Source organism: Homo sapiens, chromosome 1, assembly GCF_000001405.40.
Source record: "Homo sapiens chromosome 1, GRCh38.p14 Primary Assembly".
NCBI lineage: Eukaryota > Metazoa > Chordata > Mammalia > Primates > Hominidae > Homo > Homo sapiens.
Genome location: NC_000001.11, coordinates 186,917,986 through 186,940,954, shown reverse-complemented (window position 1 = coordinate 186,940,954; position 22,969 = coordinate 186,917,986). Strand labels below are relative to the sequence as shown.

At 38.8% G+C, this 22,969-nt stretch overlaps 1 protein-coding gene across 5 annotated transcripts in view; it reads right to left on the bottom strand.

Moving 5' to 3' along the window:
* The window catches only part of PLA2G4A (phospholipase A2 group IVA), a 160,033-nt gene that overhangs the window by 48,027 nt on the left and 89,037 nt on the right, over window positions 1-22,969 (bottom strand). For all 5 annotated transcript variants that reach the window (XM_011509642.3, NM_024420.3, NM_001311193.2 and 2 more), the window contains 3 exons: window positions 8,056-8,192; window positions 1,725-1,947; window positions 861-975 (listed from right to left, as the gene is read on the bottom strand). In XM_011509642.3, coding sequence (XP_011507944.1) covers window positions 861-975; window positions 1,725-1,947; window positions 8,056-8,192 — 475 coding nt within the window. The remainder of the gene's footprint in view (window positions 1-860; window positions 976-1,724; window positions 1,948-8,055; window positions 8,193-22,969) is intronic.

The window sequence follows — 22,969 nt, the reverse complement described above, 5'->3', positions numbered from 1 at the left end:
GAAACAAGTGTTCACTCCTGAGATTTTAACAAAATGAGGCATTGGTTCATCAACCACTACAAATATACACTAGAACTTTTTAGGTGCTGAATTATAAAAATTACAACAGCACTTTGAATGGCAAACATACAGTTGGCTCTATATACCCATGAGTTCAGCAAATTCTATCAACTGCAGATCAAAAATATTTTTTAAAAATTCCAGAAAATGTAACGTTGTTGACATGTACTGTTTGATCTGTACTAAACATGTACAGACTTTTGTTCCTTGTAATTATTCCCTAACAATATAACAACTATTTACCTAGCATTTACACTGTATTAGGCATTGTAAATAACCTAGAGATGATTTAAAGTATACATAAGAATGTGTGTAGGTTACCTGCAAACACTGTGCCATTTTGTATGTGGGGCTTGAGCAGCCACTGAATTTGGTATCCACAGGGGGGCCTGGAACCAATCCCCCATGAGTACCAAGGGAGGACTGTAGATCATATTACCCAATTAATGAAAAGATAACCAACAAGTAAAACAATTTGCACTACCTAAAAGCACTAGGCATATTATTTTGTCAAAAGTTACTGAGGAGTGGATAATTAATTGACTGTATTGATTGATTGTATCCATGATTTTTATTTTACTATAGTAAATGAAAATACATTAGTTACTAGTTTCATGGAATATTCTCTACAACCAGGAAATCATCTCACTTAATATTTTCTTATATCTTCAAAGTCTTATGTTACAGAAAATACATTAAAATAAACAACTGAAATTGCTTATGACCTTCCTCTAAGGAAAACCATGGGAAACTGCAATTCAGAGGTTCCAGGAAGTGTTCTGAGAAAGGAAACAGCATACCTGCAAACATCAGCTCTGAAACGTCAGGTTTGACATGAAGACAGGTGAAAAGAGGTAAAGGGCATTGTGCAGTATTAACTTTTTCCTTCAAACTGCTCAGAGTAGTATTCATTCTCTGTCCACAGAAGAAAGAAAAAGATGACTTTAAATTTATAAACAGACACAGAAAGAATGCTATTCAAAATAGTACTTCCAATCAAAATCTTATAACTTTATAATAAAAATAAGTCTTATTACTTCTAGAAATTACTAGGTCCTGAATGAACAACAAAAAATAAGCTCTATGGAAGTAACTATCTTCATTTAAAAAATAATCATAACTCTAGATTATATGTCTACATCTGAACTGGAGAATGAATTAGCAACTGTGGAGCCTGGAAGAAACTTAGCCCCTGGACTCCCTGTCACAGGCGCTCCTCTGCTTTATCTTCAACGAAACATCAATGCAATCATGCATCAAGCGAGTCTGTTCTATGCGATCCCCTTCCTTTCTTGACTCTATTCAGGCAAACTTCATTCTTCCTCATCTAAAAATGTTACCATTCTTGGAGGGAATGGGCAGTTAAGGGTTAAAATGTGAATTTTTTTTTTTTTTTTTTTTTCCAGAGAAAAGGAATACAAAAGCACTTCCTCACACATTCAAAATCTTTACATCATTGAAATGAATTAGTAAGCACTAGTTTGAAAGGTAGAAGAATTATAATCTCTGGTGGGGAGAATGGGCTCAGTACGCATAGTTGGACAAATAAGTAGAGTCCACTGACTTTTATAAAATGTATTACATTTTCTTTTATTTAAAATATAATATTATAATATGTTCTGTCTACTTGTTATAAAAGCAGTGTAGATTGAACTGTAACTTACATTATGAATTAGTGTTTCTCCTATTAACATCCCAAAGATATCAGTAAAGGTGACAGGTTGTCCAGAGCTTTTCTTCTTCCATAAAGACTCAACATATCTTTTAACTTTCTGTGGTGTGAGAAGTAAAAGGGGATTGTGGCTAACATTTTTCATTAGTTCTTCATTAATCTCCTCTGGCCCTTTCTCTGGAAAATCAGGGTGAGAATACAAGGTTGACATATACCTATACAGAAAACAAAACACAATCAGTAAAGATAAAGAGCATTACACAACAGTCTCCAAAGAAAGAAGGCACACTCTGTAAATAAAGCATGGTGGACATATTTGGTTAACTTCATTATCTGATTGCAGATATTAAAACATTTAAGAAAAGAATGTGTCAATCAGACAGGAGCTAGTCTACCATGAAGGTAAAGAAAAAAAGAGGTGTCAGAGGAAACACTGAACTTTCATCCACAGTCCAAGAGAGAAGGTGCCCTACTAGGACTAGTGTCCATTGTCTGGTGTGCCAGGAATGGAGTATCTCTATCAGAGTATTAGAGATTGATGACAGAGCACATCTGAGTCATGTAAATGAATTGACTTGTCTGGCTCCAAGACTAGTCAAGCAATCTGATCATCTAAATTTCCAGGATGATTATCTACAGGTAGAAAATATGTTGTCCCAACTATTGTAAATTCCTAATTCCCTTGAAAAATCCTTTTTTCTCCTTAATTATCCATTGGCCAACTAGACAAAAATCTCAAATCTTGTCAACTGTAGGTCTCTAAATTTCTGAACATATGAATCTGAAGGCAAAATCCTAAAGAGAAATAAAGTCTTTAAAGTAAATGCTTTCTTACGAAGCCTCTTGTCTGCCAGCCATTTGGCCACTTCTGGTAAAACTGGAAATCACCATGAGCCTTGATATTTGATATCTAGATAATAAAAATTTAGTTATGGTGCTCCTACCTGTGAACCAATACCTCTAGTATGGTAGATCTCATGCTGACTATTAATTACTCGTTTACTTATCTGTTTCCCTCAAGAAATTGTGTCCTCCTCCTTCAGGAAATAAACTTTGTTTATTCATCTTTTTTAGCCTCAGTGACTAGCTAATGTCTGGCATATGACAAGCACAGCTTAGGAAACTCACAGAACAAAATAAAAATAGAATATGTAAACATTCCATCACTTCATCCAACCAAGGAGAAAATAGCACATGTTTTAATCTCTTATTTCCTTGGGATTCAAATCAAAATGTCTACTATAATGGTTATCGTCCCTTCGAGGGGAGAAAACTAATTCTTCTTAGGCCCCTACTATATTCTGGGCACTGTGTTGGTTAATTGTTCATAAGCTGTTGTCTTGAAGACTCACGGTGGCTTTCAAATATTCTATTTTAATTATCAAGAAAAAGAGCATTGGGAAATTTAAATAACATGCTCATATTCCCCAGTTTATAACAGCAGAACTGGAATTCAAAATTTATCCTCTCCCCAGTAGGCTATTTTTTTTTTAGTCTATTATACAAGACTTCAGTTGTTAGAGACCAAACTATTCCTATTTCACAATAAATTATAATTCCTTATTGGGTTTGAGTTCCTTGGAGACAAGCTGAGAATAATAATCAGTTAATAAATGGAGGGTAACAGACCCACAATGGATCACATGTGCAGAAAAAAAAAACTTTAAATGATTTTTGTACAACAAATTGAATTTGAAACAGTTCCCTCAACATGTGATAATGATAAATCAAATAGACTTGCTCAACTCAACTTAGTATAATCACGAAATATCTATAAAAATGCAGCTTTGAATACTTGAAAGATACACAGTTCATTTATTCCTATAGTTATTCCAAAGTCTACCATGTGATTCATCCAAATCAAAAAAGATATGATATTCTGGACCTTCTCATACTTTTAATAAATGCACAATGTACTCTCTGAAGATTGAAGTAATCTGGTGTTCTCTCTCTCTCTCTCTCTCTCTCTTTTCCCGTCTCATGAAGCAGTTGGCTTGGAAATACAAACCCTGGCGAGAAACAGAAAAACCTAGAATACTTCAACCATTGGCATTGGATTAATGGTCTCTGCTTGTTCAGCATTTATGACACATATTCCTTAGAATTCACAAGGAGAGTTGGATAATCTTTTCATGGTGTCCCTGCAGTTACATCTAACTGAGTGAGATTATCTCAAAAAATAAAAAAAAAAAAACATAAAAGTATCACCCCAGTTTTTAACTCTATAGTTAAGCCTTAATTTTCATCTCTTTACCAATAATGTTTCCCAATTATACCATCAAGTTTCAAAAAGAGAGTAGCTTAGACATAGCAGGGCCTCTATAAATTAGTTAATTAATGAGTGAAAGGGACTTAGGTTTATTTATATAAAAATCTGGAAATATTTGCCTCAAATTTTTCAACATATTTATATGATAAGACACCTCATTCTTTTTATCTATATGCATTTTAGATTTTGTGACATTTTAAATCTAAATCATGCCAGAGAGGAAGTGATGTTCAGTTCAATGCTTGTCTCCAAATCAAATGGTCAGTGTTTTAAAATATCAGTAGCTAACTACCAGGACTTGCTGAATCCAAACCTTCGGGGTAAACATTTAGGGTTAAACATTTAGAATTTTTGTGCTTAAAAAAGAGCAGAAGTGATTCTCATCTGCAACTAAGATTTGGAATGACTTGAGAAGACCCTCAACATCTGTTAAGGAAATATCTTGAAACCCTTTAAAAACCCCTAAATTAATTTTCCCATAAAACGCAGTCACTTAACACATCTCTTCATTCAGTGATTAAGCAACTATGACCTAAGGAAAGTCAGGCACTGTGCTAGGTAAGAGAGATTCATTAGGGAAGAAGACAAACTTAGCTGTTAAACAACAAATTTTCTCTAACACATATCTTGACCTTTGATCCTGTCACACCTTATGTGACAATTTCTGTTAATATTGTTTCTTTTTTCATTGTTCTAAGAATTTTTTGTACTGTTAAACTGAAAATTCTCACTCTCAAATTCTATTTTAGTTAGTTCAATAAATTGGACCACACTGTTTATAGATGCAGAGCTGTTCTGATTTCTTTTTAGATGGTAATACTGTACAAACTTGGCAGTCAACATCCAATAGCCCCTTACAATGCTATAAAAGAACAGCTGAGGAAGAAAGCTGTACTAATCCTGAGTAAAAGAACACAGGATTACTGTCCTGTTTTTTTAGTTCACTCATTTCGGGTCTCCAGGTTGGCTAATACTTATATTTAATGAATCACAACTATCATCCAAAATTAATTTCAGAAGTAATTACCATAAAGGTAGTAGCAGGTATAAGGGAAGCTTTGTCCTACCTAAAATTCTCTTTTGTGATCACAGAAAACTTTCTGGGAGGTCCAGGGCTTCTCCACATATTTCCGTATTACCTCACTTATACCAAATAATGGCCGTGTATCAGCAGAATATAAAAGGTTACACAACATAGAAGCGTAATGTGTTTTTCCAAGACTTTCCGAATTCCTTCCTTTGAACTTTTTACCTTCTCACCTGTACTTTTTAAGAGAGAACTGTGAACATGAATCATCCTGGCCACCTTTTCTTCTGGTAAGGGAGCATCTCTTCTTTCCCTGGTTAACACCTTCACCTGTGCTTTCAATCTTGTGTCCTGTCTCTGCAGGAGTCTTTTTCTATCTATTTTCTTTACCTTCTATCTTCTTTTTATCTTCTACTATCTTCTATTTCTTTATCTTCCATCTATGCCTCTACATTATTTCCTACATCTCAGACATCTAGAAAATGCTCAACTCTCTTAAATTCTGAAAAAAAAAAAAATAAAAACCCTTCCCTGGGCCCTATGTTCCCTTCAAACAATGACCGAGCTCCTTCCTTCCCTTTCCAAACAAAGTACTTGAAATAATAGATGGCTTTTATGAGGTTCATATGCCTATTTTTTGTACTCTCATGTTTTATTCACTTCTTATTTTTTACAATCTCATGTTTAAAAGTATCTTTTAATTACTTTTACTAGTGGTTCCTGCTAAAACCACTAACCAAACCCAGTCCTTTGCTAAGCTTTTCACAGATTTTCAACATTATTAAAACACCCACTCCTTCTTGAAGCATCCTTCCCTCTAGATACCATCTTTTACTTGATTCTCCTCTATGACAGCTTATTTGCAGTCTCCATTAGGGTTTTATTTTCTTTTTATCTATGAAGTTTTGGAGTGTTACAGGGTTCCATGAATTAAATTCTTGGTGGTAATAGCTAAAATGGCAGAAGTTGGTGGAATTACCTACGGAGGACATATGGATATAATGGACCAAAAGAGAAGCCATGAGGGAAAGCCCACATTAAGGAGAGAAATTGTGGAAGTGGTAGGGACAATATATGGAGGAGAGGCCAATCAGAGAGGATGAAATAAAACTGAAAAGGCATGATAGGAACAATTAGAAAGAAGCACAAATCAATGTGTGAAATGTCTCAATCTCCAATCCCTCCCTCCCCTACACCACATACACTGAGAAGTCAAGGAAAATAAGAACTTTGCAAATTAAGTGGTCTGTGAGTGAAAATTTATTACAAGGAGTGAGCAGCCTTTTAAGGAAATGAAATAAAAAGGTAAAAGCTGATCTTTATGGAAATAAGACTGTGAAAGATAGAGTAGAAGTATACATATATGTGTGTGTGTGCACATTTAAAATCCTTTTAATTAATCTCTCTGTATATATATATATGTGCACATTTAAAATCCTTTTAATTACTCTCTCTGTGTATGTATATATATATATATATATATGTGCACATTTAAAATCCTTTTAATTACATTTTACAGGACTTGTTTACTGACAGGGGAATGTGAGAAGATATTGCACCAAATCTATAACCAAAGCAATGACTATATCTCTAATCAAGCACACACATACACAATTATATCCCCAAATCAGCACTCGAAGTCTAGTCTTGCTTTATTAGATGAGTTTAAGAAAGTAAGCTTCTTCCAGTTGTCAGTGATGGACAACAGGATGTAATAAACAGTGAGTACAAAGAAAGAACACCACTCAAAGAATAATAACAAAATGATTGAGTAGGTGAACTAATGTAAGGGTCCAAGATTTTCTAACACATTACTCATTAAACAGGCAGATGCCTGCTCTTTCCTTCAAGGGAAAGAATAATGATGGGCTACACCCTTCCTTCAGAAGAAATAAATCATTTTGAGGGTACATATAGAGAAGATGGCAATGATGGCTCTAAGTTTTTGTTTCATGACTAAATCTGATTCAAAACATTTAAGAAACTGTGGATGATTTAAATGTGAAATTCCCTGTAAAATATATAGATGTCCCAGAAAAGAGTGTGGTTTAGTAGAAAGAACTCAGAATGACAGATCAAAAGCCTGAGTTTATATGCTAGCTCTACTAGTGATGTTGGACAAATCATTTGGCTTCTAAGTCAAATTTTCTTCAGCATAAAAATGAATAAATTCATACCCATCTCACAAGATAAAATGACACAGAAACTTTAAAATGCTAGACATATATAATACGATATTCTGATAGATGAGTTTGCCATGGCTGAATGACTAAAAAGGCCTTGTAAGTCCAAGGCAGATCTTTAGTAATAAGATGATACTCTTATTTGAGACATGTGAGCAAGGACTTTTCATTTGATTTTCAATGTGCTTATGTGAGGTAAGCAAACCAAAAAGTATGTAATATCTTCTTGGAAAATGTTTTATAAATATATTTGTGAAAACCTACAGGGTACAAGTATTATACATATGGATGCTTTAAGTCTCCACCTAAATTTAAAAGACAAATTTCATATTTAGTTAGATGAAAATCAATGAAATATATTATATTTCTATATTCAAAAAAATTGTTTTCTTTGTTCTGTATACTATGGTATCTTGCATCTTATTCTATTTGCCCTAAAGAAGAAAATGAATATGTAGTGAATCATGTAGACTTAGACATGTTCACTGAAGGACTACAAATCAGCAAATTATAAGAAGATTAAATTAATTATGGGTGGAGTATGTTGTTCCACTTCTATTTTTATCTAGAACTATTTTCAATTAGTCTTTTTTATTTCATGTTTTAACTACATTTTAAGTTACAAAGTGGCTTAAAAGAAGTAAATTTGCAACAAAAAGTTATTATTAAGTATGGATTTGTCTTTAAAAAATCTTTTAAAGCAGATTGTGGCATCAAACTGGAAAGTTTCAGTAATTTAAATTAATGATCAATTTTCTAAATCCCCTTTTCTCTTCTAGTGCTTGAGTTAGATAAATCCTAAATATTTAAAGTTATAAAACTAAAATTAAAAATGTATACTAACCAGGTGGAGCCAGAAAGACCAGCAACGTAGGTAGCACAATCCAGAATTCCTGATTCGTATAATGCCTTCATCACACCAGAGAATCCCACCATGGCTCGGAAACCCCCACCTGAACCCAATATGGCTACCACAGGCACCTGAAACGATGCAACAGAGAGATTTGTACACAAAGTAAAAATCATAAAATACAGTTCCCTTTAGTCTCAATCTTTATGTTATACATCCCATATTTTGTCACAAAGAAGTGTAAGTTAACTTCATACTTTAGTAATGCCTAATTTTTTAAAAGAAGAAAATAAGGCCGGGTGCAGTGGCTCACATCTGTAATTCCAGCACTTTGGGAGGCCGAGGCGGGTGCATCACCTGAAGTCAGGAGTTCGAGACCAGCCTGACCAACATGGTGAAACCCCATCTCTACAAAAAACACAAAATAAAAAGTAGCTGGGTGTGCTGGCGGGTGCCTGTAATCCGAGCTACTTTGGAGGCTGAAGCAGGAGAATTGCTTGAACCCAGGAAGCAGAGGTTGCAGTGAGCCAAGATCGTGCCATTGCTCTCCAGCCTGGGCAACAGAGCAAGACTCCATCTCAAAAAGAAAAAAAAAAAAAGAAAAAGAAAAGAATGTTTCATATAAGAAAATAAAAAAAGCAATGTCTATTAGAAAAAAGATATCATTAAAATGACCAACTTACTCTATTTAATAATAACAATAATACTCTATATTTGTTCAACATTTTGCAAATTTTTGGCTTGCTTTCAGGGACATTGTCTTATTTAACTCTCTCAGAAATCATGTAAGGTGAGCAGAAGGAAAGTATTTGCTGGTTTTGCAAATGAAAGTTATATAATGATGATGTTTCTTGTGTAAGATCTACCAGCTGGTAATTCATAGTTGAGTAAGCACCTTGACTTCAGGTTACATTTACAGAGAGCATCTTTAACATCTGGTGACCGATCTGATGTTAGCAGTAAAAGAGAGGAAGGTGGGTGGTCAGACTTAGGGTTTCTAGCTTTGCTCTTAAGCAGATGATGCTATCATTACCCAGAACAAGGATCCCAAGGCATGAATTTAGGTGAAGGAAGAAACAGTGCACTCAGTCTTACAAATGCTGAATATACAACATGAATGCATTGTGTTTCCAGTATTGGCACCTGATCCCTGAGTGGCCACTTACCAATATGATGTATACATATATTCATGGAATGATTATTTTACAACCAGAAGGACCAAAAAGATTGTATAGTCATAAGATATAGTAGTTGTAAGGAAGCCAGATAAGAACTTAGAACAAAGAGGAAGGATTTGAATTAAGCCTTGAAAGGGGGTTGAGTATATAGGCAGTGTAATAATAATAATAATAATAATAATAATAATAATAATAATAGCAAACATTTTTGCTTTAAATTGGGAAAGATAAATCTGCAGAGGCCAGATCTTATTAGAGTTAGAGAAGTGAACAGTAGAACACCTAGGACTAAATTCCTAACCCAGAGCTGTACTCTAACAAGTGGTCTTAAATCAAAAAACACTAGGCATCAAACTACATGCAAACTTGAAACCTCATAACGAAAGCACACTCTACAAGTGCAGTGCAATGGAAGGATCTAAATGGCTTTGAATCTGTATGTGTATATATGTGTACATGTGTGTGTATGTGTGTGTATCTTTATGTATCTTTATATAGATGTATATGGGTTTGTATAAATACCAAGCTCTCAAACAAAGATTTTAAAATTGTAAATAAAGTAAAATATGTAAGTCCTTAAAAGCTTGTCTGGAGGGGGAAATAAAGTTAAGGTAGGAAACTAAAGTAGGTTATACAGAGGATGAGTAGAATACAATAAAGTATTAGGTGCAGCAGTAGTTGTAAGGAAGCTAGATATAAAGTTAGAATGAAGAGGAGGGATTTGAATTCAGTCTTGAAAGGGGGTTGAGTTTACAGGCAGTATAATAACAATAATGATAACAATAAAAGCAAACATTTAACATTGCTATGTGCTCAGTTCTGGGCCTAAGGTTCAGGCCAAGATAGGCATAAGCAGGAAAGGGTATGCAATTTGGGTACCAAAATACTTGGGGTCTTAGTATTGTAGCAGGTGTATATTAGGGAGTTGGGAAAATAGGATTACGAAGGGCATTGAGGAAAAACAATTTCAAGATTAATACTGTAAAAGATAGGTTGTTCTTATTCAAAAATTATATGGGGGCATTTGAGTCTATAGGTATGGTTAATTGTAGCATTGTATTATTAAAAATAACCAACCCAATACAAATCACGTAGTTTAGAATAGAGAAAAAAAGTTCTTAGTAACAGATTATACAATTCATTTCAACACACAGCAAACAGCCTGCACTGTTATTCAGCAAGAGATTTAATAAGAGAAACTGGAAAAATGAACATAAGAGCTTCTCTAATCCTGAAAAAACAACTTCCCAGATGTCCTTCTCCAAATGCCAACAGCCCGACACATACTGAAGATGCTTATGGTATGTTGCTTGGAATTTTCTGGAAACAGCCTCCTATTAAACTAGAATTCATATGTTAGGTAACCTGCTGTTCTCATTATTGCTTTGAAGGAATTCTGAAGGAGGTTTTCAGGTCAGGGTTTTAATTCAGATACTTCTGTTGTCATCAGGGGAAGGAAAATGTTCAGATATTTGTACGTAAAGTTGAATAATCAAATAATTGGCTGTGCAGATTATAATTACCTTCATTTGTTAAGCATGCATTTACATTATACATTTAATTTTCATAACCTGTCAGTACATACTATTACTCCGTTTGTTTGTTTGTTTGTTTTGTTTTTGAGATAGGGTCTCTCTCTCTCTCACCCAAGCTGGAGTCTCTGTCACTCAGGTTGGAGTGTACTGGCATAGAGACGGGGTTTTGCCATGTTGCCCAGGATGGTCTTAAACTCCTGGGCTCAAGGGATCCACCCACCTTGGCCTCCCAAGTAGCTGGAACTAAAGGTGCACCACACCTGGCTAATTTTTGTATTTTTTGTAAAGACAAGGTTTCACCATGTTGCCCAGGCTTGTCTCAAATTCCTGGGCTCAAGGGATCTGCCCACCTTGCCCTCCCAACTTGCTGGGATTATAAGCATGGGCTACCACACTGGGCCTATAACCCCATTTTTAAAAATAAAGCAATTTAAACATAAAGAAGATTTTTTTTCCAATGTCACAAAGCTAGAAAGTGGTATTTGGAGTCAAAGTTGGGTCTGCCACATAACAAAGCTATTATTTCACTATGCTCTACTTTGTCTCTCCAAACAAATAGCCCCTGCTTTTCCCCAACTAATGCTGTGTCCTAAGGCCAAGAAAACACTCTGTGGGCTCAGTTTACTTATATATAAGAATATTGATCTTGATATATTGATATATAAAAATATTGATCCTGAAGCTTTTAGCAACTAGTAACATTCTAGATTCTGTAACACCTACAGAAACATGAATTATAAAACTATAAAATTGTAACTATGAACTATAAAAAAGAATGGGAAATTAGATGTGTCAAGAACATATTGTATGTGCCTTGCACTCTCTCATGGACACTTTCACACAATTTATTTCATTTAATCTTCCCAACTCTCAAAAGGAAGTCATTGTTTGTTTCATTTTTCAAGTGAGGAGTGCAGATAATACCTTGTCCATAGATAGATAGCTAATAAGTAATACAATCAAGATTTGAACTGAGGTATGTCTGGCATCAAAATTCCTTGCTCTTTCCTTTATCATTGCTCAGAAAGAAAGGGGTAACCTTTACGGAGAGAAACCATTGATGTTTGGTCAAACTATATTTCAAATTATGTATCACTTCAAATAATGTCAGGACAATTTTATGTAATAAACAAAGACTAAGTTTGGAGTTTTAATAGTCTTGCTCATTCTGAAATAATGTTCAAAGAAATAACACGAAAGTTATAAGGTTCAGCTGTTAGTCATGGCTCTAATTCTAAGAGAATCAAGTAAGTGCTGCTGAGAAGGTCTGGGGTTATATTTGGACCTAATATCACCAGTATTTAGATATAAATGATGTCAATAAATATTTCTCATACTTCATATGATTACAGGAAATGAGTTTTCATTTACCAAAAACCTTGCGTTTTGATTTAATTATCCTGGTACGCAAGCTTACTAACATTATTAATTGCCTCCCTTTCAAAAGAAAATTCTGAAGTATTCAAGAATATTTTTGTTTTTCATAGACAATTACATAAAAACATTTCTCTCCTTGGCCCCCCATATTAGTCAGGGTTTTTCAAAGAAACAGAACCAACAGGATGAGTAGATATACAGAAAGAGATTTATTATAATGAATTGTCTTACACCATTGTGGAGACCAGCCAAGTCCAAATCTGCAAAATGGGCTGGCGAGCTTCATACCCAGGAGAGCCTATGGTGCAGATGAAGCCCAAGGGAAGTCTGCTGGAGAATTCCCTCCTGCTCAGTGAGGCAAGTCTTTTTGTCATATTCAGGCCTTGAACAGATTGGATGAGGCCCACCCACATTATAATAGTAAGGATAATCTGCTTATTCAAAGTAAGCAAGAACACCGGCAGCCAATATAGCACTTGGTCTTATATGCTTCTCCATTGCTTCTGATATGGGACATTTGCTTGCCTCTCCCTGACCCTGTTTCCCTCACAGCTTACATTTCTCAGCGGTCAAGAGCTTTGGGCCCCTCAGAGTGCACCACCTTGCTGAGTGCAGTCTGGGTCCCTTGGATATCTAACCTGCTCTCTAGACCAGTTAGGCCAGTTTCCAGCTCTGTTTTATTCCTTGGCTGTTTATATCCCACCACTTCCTCAGATAAGAAAAATTCAGCTCCACCTCTTGATTCCTGAAACCTGACCTTTGCAAGCCCAGGCCTGCTCAGTTCATGTTCCTATACTCCACTAAAGGGAGCCCTCCACTGCCTGCCTTTCGACCTTTACCAACTGAAAGAAGAATAAAGATTGATAGCACAAAGTGCCATTGTCAGAATGAAGGTGGAAAGAGGCGAGGAAATATTCTCGATGAAGGAAACAACAGAAACATAGGAATGGAAATGCTTATTGACAACTCAAGGTTGATTTCTCTTATCTCCTTCAGAAGAAACTGTCTTGCTCTGCCTCTCCCTCCATGACTAGATGATCTGTCTTTCTCTAGACTTTCACTTAACTTATATGACAAGTACCAAGTGGCACTCGGAGAATTAATTACTTAAGGTCCATATTTTACTTCTATTTTCATCCAAAGCTGTCTATTTGTTTAAACTGAAATATGGTCCTTATTGTCTTCCTTAAGAAAAAGCATTATCTCTTTTACACTCTGATGACAAGAAGAATCTTTTCTTCTCTCATTTCTTTACTACTCTAATTCCAGATTTTACTCCCCCAACCAACCGCGTTATGGTATGGCTAGTTTTTAGGGGACATAGAGACTGGATAGTAACATTTCATTTCACAGACACAACTGTAATCTGAAAATTTTATCTGACCAGAAACTATTTTAGAACAAGAAAAGTTTAAAAAGTGGCTTCTGAACTATCAAAACACACCAAAAATCCCCATACACAAAGTCATATATCTTGCTCAAAGAAAAGATCTCAGCCCTCTTCTCATAAAGAAATTATATTAATTAGAGACACTGTTCTAACAGCAAGTTTGCTTATCAGATTTGAATTCCAGAGCAACAAAGTTGAAAGAGAAAAGGGCAGTGTGAAGAAATCACTTCAAGCAGCCAACACAGGGCACAGAACAATCGCAGCTGAATGCAAAGGAAGCAGGCCTGAGAATGCCCAAATTGGTTCAGTCTGAGCAAGAAATTACACATTTCAGAAAGATTTCTATCTACATAATCAAAATCAATAATTTTTTTCAAAAATCTTAGTACTTAAGAGAATAAACGCTTAGGCTTTAAAAAACCTTAACTATTTGACTAGTTCATTATACAGCCAGGAAAACTAATTTAAAAATTAGGCCATGGTAAATTTAACAATTATTGACCACGAGTGTTATGCCACAGAATGGCAGCACCCAAGAATATGTATAATATTACTGTTCTACTGAGTAACATTAAGTGCCCCTATACATTTTGCTGGACGCTTTATGAGCATTTGTACTTATCCCCTTGCCACAACAGGAGACATTATCATCATTTTACAAGTGACGCACAAAGGTAAAACAATGTTCCCAAATATATACTACCCAAATTCATTCAACATTTAATTCAACGTTGAGGTCTAAACTGGATACTGTCTGTATTGAGATGAATAGGACTGTTCTTGTTCATTGTACAAACTGCCACAACAGCCCACTCTTCCATACATTAAGGAGGCCAACTGGCCAGCACTGAACAGAAAGTGAAGACTTTGATAGGGGACAAAGGATGTGGAAAGTTAAGAGATCCAAGAAGTAACATAAAAATAGAAAAATGTTACTTTTGTTATGGGAATGGGTGGTACTGATAACTTCTAAGCTGATTATTTCTGCCAAGAGAAAACAGTGTGGGCTGAAACCAAAAAAAGCAACAACAAAAGTTTTAATTCAATAAATGACTTCCAAACACATGAATTTAATATTTTTTTGAAGGATAGCCCAGAGAAAAACCATGATTACCTCATTCCCCATCTGTTGCAGAAAAGTTATTTTACTGTCATTCGTATGAACATGAAGCAAAGTTATATTTTCCCAGGAAGACTTACTAATCCTTTCCACAAAAGGAGGAGTGACTAGAGGTGGCAGCAGAAACTTACTTTTTGAAAAGAAGAACCTAAGAAAAAATGCCAACCAATGTGTCCTACATAAATTTCTAACTCAAGAGTCTAAGCCAAGATATCATCAAAACCTTCTCCTTAACCGGTGTTTCCCTAGCAACCTGATACTCGTGTTCCTGTTTCAAAACCATGACCTCTCTCTCTAGCAAATTTACTCCATGCATGCAATGCCTAAATCTGTGCCCTCATGCATGCAACAAAATATTCACCAAGGATCTACCATACTAGGAACTATGCTAGGTGGTTGAAATATAGAGATGAATAACACAGATGTTGTCCTGGCCCTCATAAAACTTAAATTCTAATGGAGAAAACAGTCACAGTCACCAAATAAATATTTTTACAAGAATTTTTTTAAGTACAACCATGGGAAATGCTGAGAAGAGAATGTTCATATATGCCATAAGAGAGCATAACTGAGAGAACTAGCTTAGACTTAGGGGTAAAGAGGGAGGAGATGACTTGGGAGAGTCTCAGAAGAAATTACCTGTGTGCTCATTAAAGGATGGGAGAGTGTTAGTTAAAAAGGGGGTGAAGTGGAGACAGGGATTGTATAGGGGAAGCCTATTGCAGCAAGAGGGAGCGCTGTACAGGAGACCTCCAACCGGGGAAAGATTCTGTAGAGACACAGAACTAAGAGGTGCTTACTGGGAGGGAGTAAAGAAATTTGGGATAAACTGGCAAAAATGAAGCTAGAAAGAAGCTGTGGAGAAGAGTCTAAGAGCAGTGGAAGGATTTTAAACTTGGGATGGATAGAAATAGGTTTCTGTTTTGAAACATTCACTCTGAATTCATTGTAAAAAGAAAGTGGGAAGAGGGAAGACAAGTACAAGTCCTCTCAATACACAAACATATGTAAGTCCTCTCTATACAAGGCACAGAAAGAGACAAAACTTTGTGTTCAGATTTAGATAGGCTAAGTTTGAGATGCTGGCAGGAATACACGTAAAGAAATCAAGTAAGTTTGTAGATATTTAGGTCTGAAGCTCAGAAGAGAGGTTCTAAGTTGTTGATACACATGTGAAAGTCCTTAGCACACAGTTGTTGGGTGACATCATAGGCTAGAGAGAAATTTCTTTTTGTTGTTGTTGTTTGAGACAAGATCTCACTTTGTCACCCAGGCTGGAGTGCAGTGGCACCATCTTGGCTCACCGCAGCCTCTACTTCCTGGGTTCAAGTGATCCTCCTGCCTCAGCCTCCCAAGTAGCTAGGACTACAGGTGCGCACTACCATACCTAATTTTTTTGTATTTTTTGCAGACATGGGTTTTCACCATGTTGGCTGGGCCAGTCTTGATCCTCCCACCTTGGCCTCCCAAAATGCTGGGATTACAGGTGAGAGCAACCACACCCTGACTGAGAATCCTGGATTTAAATCCCAATTGCCTAGAAAAACGTATTTCTCATGGGGCATGGTGGCATGCACCCCATAATCCCAGCACTTTGGGAGGTCGAGGCAGGAGGATCATTTGAACCCAGGAAGTCAAGGCTGCCATGAGCCAAGATGGTGCCATTGCACTGCAGCCTGGATGACAAAGTGAAACCCTGTCTCAAAAAAAGAAAGAAAGAAATAGAATGAGGAGAAAGAGGACCTAGGACTATGACTTGAGGAATTACTATATGTAAGGAACGCTCAGATGAAGAAGAGCTGGTAAAGAACACCAAAGAGGCATGATAAAGACCGTGAAAAGGGAGTAAGTGAAGAGTAGACAATGTTTCAAAATGTAAGGAGACATCTGTCATTTGCATCTGCAAGGTTAGGTAAGATAGGGCAAGAACAAGATCCTGTGCATTTATTAGCACTGGTGTCTAAAGGAGGTAGAATGAGCTTGTATAGAAAATGTTGGAGACGTTTGTGAAGGTAAGGAGAGAAATAGAGCAGAAGGGAGGAGAGAATACAGAATCCAGAAAATGTTTTTTGTTCTTTATTTTCTTTTTATAACTGAGTTTAGAACATGTTTATATTTTTATAGCAAATATCCACACGGAGGTAGACGTTGACAATACAGGTTGAGAGTGATCTGGGAAAATCTGAATAATAGATATATTGGGGTATTCAAGAGGAGCTTAGGATCCATATCTGATGGGTATCTGCATTTGAAAGCAAAGGGAGTATATTCTCTATTGAACTACGAGGGAGGTTGCAAAAGACAGGCATCAGTTATGGAGTATGTCAATTTTATAGCAAGAAATGAAGGATTTGTCATCTCCTAACTTTTTATTTCTCTATCATTAGGAGACAAGTCTATCTGTCATGAGGGGAACAGGAAGTAGTCAGCCGTTAGCAGTAAAGAAAATAATTGTTGCAAATAACTAGAAAGCAATTAGGCAGGGAAACTCTGAGATTGCAAGGCACGTTCTCCCAAATAAAGTTGACAGTCATGACTTACAAGAAATATGAATTTCCTCCTTTTTCTTCTAGCAAGCTCATACCTCAAGGCATGGCCAACAGTCTTCAACTCTAAAAGAAATTTCTATCATCTCTACTGCAGAGGGTGAGTCATCCTCTTGCAATCACTTGCATCCCTCAGTTCACACCTCTTTATTAAGAACTTAACACATCATTGGTTTTGTTTGCTTAAATATCATTCTTCCAAACAAGGCTTTAAAATCACTAAGGAAGGTAACTCCTCAGGGCTAGCCATCTCAGCTTTATTCTTCTCTAGTGCCTAGCACAGTATCTCAATAAATTACAAATGTTAGAAATGAAAAGAATTTGTAATATCATTTTTCTGTTTTGAGGGTATACCAATACAAGGATGGTGACAAAAAGAAAAATGTTGTAGAATTGCTACCGAAAAGTTTTCTATATTAAAAGAAACACACATACACACACTAAAAACTTCAGAGAAGCTATAAATTTCTGAATAATATATGAAGAAGACAGTTTTTTCAAGAACTAATTAGCCTGACATGATAAACAACCACAAGTTCTAACAAGAGTCTATTATATTGACAAGCAAGATACAGGATTTGGCCAGGCATGGTGGCTTGTGCTTGTAATCCCAGTAAGGGAGGAGACCACTCCTCATATTGTCTTATGCCCAATTTCTGCCTCCAAAGAAAGAAGTAAAAACTAAAAGGCAGAAATGAAATCCACAAGCAGACAGCCTGGCACTACACCCTGGACCTGGTAGTTAAACATTGACGACTGACATAATTGGTTATGTTATCTATAGATTACAGACATTGTATAGAAAAGCACTGTGAAAATCCCTGTCCTATTCTGTTCTGTTCTAATTACCAGTGCATGCAGCCCCCCGTCACGTAACCCCTGCTTGCTCAATCGATCACAACCCACTCAAGTGGACCCCCTTAGAGTTGTGAGCCCTTAAAAGGGACAGGAATTGCTCACTCAGGGAGCTCAGCTCTTGAGACAGGAGTCTTGCCGATGCTCCAGGCTGAATAAACCCCTTCCTTCTTTAACTTGGTGTCTGAGGGGTTTTGTCTGAGGCTTGTCCTGCTACATTTCTTGGTTCCCTGACTGGGAAGCAAGGTGATTAACAGACGGTCGAGGCAGCTCCTTAGGTGGCTTAGGCCTGCCCTGTGGAGCATCCCTGCAGGGGACTCTGGCCAGCTTGAGCAAAGCAGATCCTGAGAGCACTCCTAGGTAGGCAACTGCCCCAGTGGAATGCCTCACCAGAGCAGCGCGTGGCAGGCCCCCGTGAAGGATCAACACAGTGGCTGAACACCAGGAAGGAACTGGCACTTGGAGTCTGGACAACTGAAACTTGGTAAGACTAGTCTTTGGAACTTGCCCACTCCATTTGAGTGGAAGCATGGCCTGATCACCCACGGCATGCCTGTACCGGCACTTTGGTTTTTGTTTTCAACTTGACTTGGATTGCTTGATACTTTGGGTCTGGTTTTGACCTGACTTGGATTTCTTGATACTCTGATTTTGGTTTTGATTCTGGTTTGGTGTAAACTGTAAAAGTGTGTGTGTGCCCTTTTTACCCGTTCTTTGTTTTGTGATGTGTGTGTGGTGTGAGCATGGTCTTTTGTCTCGAGGAAACACAGGTCAGGCACAAAGTAAGCCCACCCCACTAGGAACTATGTGGAAAAATTTCAAAAAGGGATTTAAAGGAGACTATGGAGTCACTATAACAACAGGAAAACTTAAAACTTTCTGTGAGATAGACTGGCCAGCATTAGAGGTGGGTTGGCCATCAGAAGGAAGCCTGGACAGGTCCCTGTGTCAAAGGTATGGCACAGGGTAACCTGTAAGTCAGGGCACCCAGATGAGTTCCCATATGTAAATTATTGGCTACAGCTAGTTTTGGACCCCCCACAGTGGTCAAGAGGACAGGCAGCAGCAGTACTAGTAGCAAAGGGACAGTTAGTTAAGGAAGGTTCTCCCTCCACCCACCGAGGGAAGTCGGGACCAAAAGTCCTGTCCGACCCAACTCCAGAAGAATCATGGCAGGAATTGGTATCAGCAGTACCCCCTCCTTATCAAAAGGAAGGGCTCCCCACTCCTGAGGCCACAGCACCTACACCTCCACCAGATAACCACACCCCTAGATCACACAGAGTAGACAGAAGAGGAAGTGAAGCCACAGGAGAAACTTCTCCGTTGACAGCTTGCTTATGGCCCAAGACTGGAATCCAAATGCCCCTGAGAGAGAAGCAATATACTGGGGTAGATGAGGACAGACACATGGTGGAAAGGCGTGCCTTTGTGTATCAACCTTTCACCTCTGCTGACCTCCTCAATTGGAAAAATAATACTCCATCTTACACTGAAAAGCCTCAAGCTTTAATTGACTTGCTCCAAACTATTATACAGACTCATAATCCTACTTGTGCTGATTGCCACTAGCTGCTCATGTAACTTTTAAACACAGATGAAAGGCAAAGGGTGCTCCAGGTGGCAACTAAGTGGCTACAGGAGCACGTCCTAGCTGATTACCAAAACCCCCAAGAATATGTAAGAATTCAGCTGCCAGGAACAGACCCCCAATGGGACCTGAACAAGAGACCAGACATGGAAAGGCTAAGACGGTACCGTGAGGCATTAATAGAAGGTCTAAAGAAAGGGGCTCAAAAGACTACAAATGTAAATAAGGTCTCTGAGGTCACCCAAGGAAAAGAGGAGAGTCCAGCACAATTCTATGAAAGACTGTGTGAGGCTTACCCTATGTACACTCCTTTTGATCCAAATAGCCCTGAAAATCAGCACATGATTAACATGGCCTTAGTTAGTCAAAGCGCGGAAGATATCAGGAGAAAATTGCAGAAACAGGCTGGGTTTGCGCATATGAATACCTCACAGTTACTGGAAATAGCCAATCAAGTATTTGTGAATAGAGATGCAACAAGCCGCAGAGAAAGCCATAAAGAAGGTGAATGCCAGGCTAGGCGAAACGCCGACTTACTGGCCACGGCCTTTAGGGGAATTCCCCTGAAAGGAGAGGAAAAGGGGGGTTCTGGGAAGAATACCCAGTCTAATCACCCACGCTTGCAACCTAACCAATGCGCCTACTGTAAGGAAATAGGACATTGGAAAGATAAGTGTCCCCAACTGAAGGAAAAGCAAGGTGATTCGGAACAAAAGACCTCAGATAAAGATGAGGGAGCTTTGTTTAATCTGGCTGAAGGGCTACTGGACTGAAGGGGACCGGGCTCAAGCGCCCCCAAGGAGCCCACGGTCAGGATTACAACTGGGGGCAAGGACATTAAGTTTTTGGTCGATATTGGTGCTGAACATTCAGTAGTGACCACCCCAGTCGCCCCCTTTGATATAATCAGAGCAACAGGAGTTTCCACTAAGCAGGCTTTCTGCCTACCACGGACCTGCTCGGTGGGGGGACATGAGATAGTTCACCAGTTCTTGTGTATTTCTGACTGTCCCTTGCCCTTGCTGGGAAGAGACTTGCTTAGCAAGCTGAGAGCCACCATCTCCTTTACAAAACAGGGCTCTTTACAGCTAAAGTTACCAGGAACAGGAATTATCATGGCTCTTATGGTCAGTCCCCTGGGAAGAAGAAAGGGGACTTTTTCTAACCGAGCCAGGCCAAGAGATAAAACCAGCTCTAGCTAAGCAATGGCCCAAGTATGGGCAAATGATAATCCTCCGGGACTGGCGGTCAACCAAGCCCCCGTGCTCATAGACGTTAAGCCTGGGGCCCAACCAATTAGACAAAAGCAGTATCCGGTTCCCAGAGAAGCTCTCAAAGGAATCCAGGTTCATCGCAGGTGCTTGAAAGCCTATGGAATTATAGTTCCTTGCCAGTCTCCATGGAACACCCCCCCTCCTGCCTGTCCCTAAGCCAGGGACCAAGGACTACCAGCCAGTACAGGACTTGCGCTTGGTCAACCAAGCTACAGTGACTTTGCACCCAACAGTTCCTAACCCTTACACATTGTTAGGGCTGCTGCTGGCTGAGGACAGCTGGTTTACCTGTCTGGACTTAAAAGATGCCTTCTTTAGCATCAGACTAGCTCCTGAGAGCCAGAAGCTGTTTGCCTTTCAGTGGGAAGATCCGCAGTCAGGTGTCACTACTCAGTACACTTGGACCCGGCTTCCCCAAGGGTTCAAGAACTCCCCTACTATGTTCAGGGAGGCCGTGGCTTGAGACCTACAAAAATTTCCTGCCAAAGACCTAGGCTGCATCTTGCTCCTGTACGTGGACGACCTTCTGCTGGGACACTCCACGGCAGTCGAGTGTGCAAAAGGGATGGATGTCCTGCTTCAGCACCTGGAGGACTGTAGGTATAAGATGTCCAAGAAGAAAGCTCATATCTGCAGACAGCAGGTACGCTACCTGGGATTCACTATTCGGAAAGGGGAGCGCAGCCTGGGGTCAGAAAGAAAGCAGGTCATCTGTAGCCTACCGGAACCTGGAACCAGAAGGCAAGTAGGGGAATTCCTAGGAGCTGTGGGGTTTTGCAGATTATGGATTCCAAACTTTGCAGTTTTAGCCAAACCTTTGTACGGGGTTACAAAGAGGGGCGATTGGGAGCCTTTTGAATGGGGGCCTCTACAACAGCAAGCCTTTTGTAAGTTAAAGGAAAAACTTATGTCGGCCCCAGCCCTAGGACTACCAGATTTGACAAAGCCCTTTACACTCTATGTGTCAGAAAGAGAAAAAATGGCAGTTGGAGTTTTAACCCAGACTGTGGGGCCCTGGCCAAGGCCAGTGGCCTATCTCTCAAAACAACTAGATGGGTTTCCAAAGGCTGGCCACTATGTCTAAGGACCCTGGCAGCAACAGCCCTGTTAGCACAAGAAGCAGATAAACTAACCCTTGGGCAAAACCTGAATATAAAGGCCCCCCATGCTGTGGTAACTTTGATGACTACCGAAGGACATCATTGGCTAACAAATGCTAGATTAACCAAGTACCAAAGCTTGCCATGTGAAAATCCCCACATAACTATTGAAGTCTGTAACACCCTAAATCCCACCACCCTGCTCCCAGTATCAGAGAGCCCGGGCGAGCATAACTGTGTAGAGGTGTTGGACTCAGTCTATTCTAGCAGACCTGACCTTCGGGACCAGCCATGGGCATCATCAGTAGACTGGGAGTTATACATGGACGGGAGCAGCTTCATCAACTCACAAGGAGAAAGATGTGCAGGATATGCGGTGGTAACTTTGGATGCTGTCATTAAAGCCAAACTGTGGCTACAGGGCACTTCAGCCCAGAAGGCTGAGCTCATTGCTTTAACTCGGGCTGTAGAACTCAGTGAAGGTAAGACTGTAAACATCTACACTGACTCTGGATATGCCTCTCTAACCCTCCAAGTGCATGGAGCATTATATAAGGAAAAGGGCCTGTTAAACTCTGGGGGAAAGGACATAAAATATCAACAGTAAATTCTACAATTATTAGAGGCAGTGTGGAAACCTCAGAAGGTGGCAGTCATGCACTGCAGGGGACACCAGCGAGCCTCCACCTCAGTGGCCTTAAGAAACTCTCGACCTGATTCAGAAGCTCAAAAAGCAGCATCTACCCCTTACTGGGCATCGATAGCAGCCCCCTTACTCCCTCAAACACCTGACCTGGTACATACCTATTCTAAGGAAGAAAAAGACTTCTTCCACCCAGACAGGGGGCAAGTAATAAAAGGAGGATGAATCAGACTGCCAGATGGGAGGGTAGCTGTGCTGCAGTTGCTGGGAGCCACAGTCGTATTGGCCATGCACGAAAC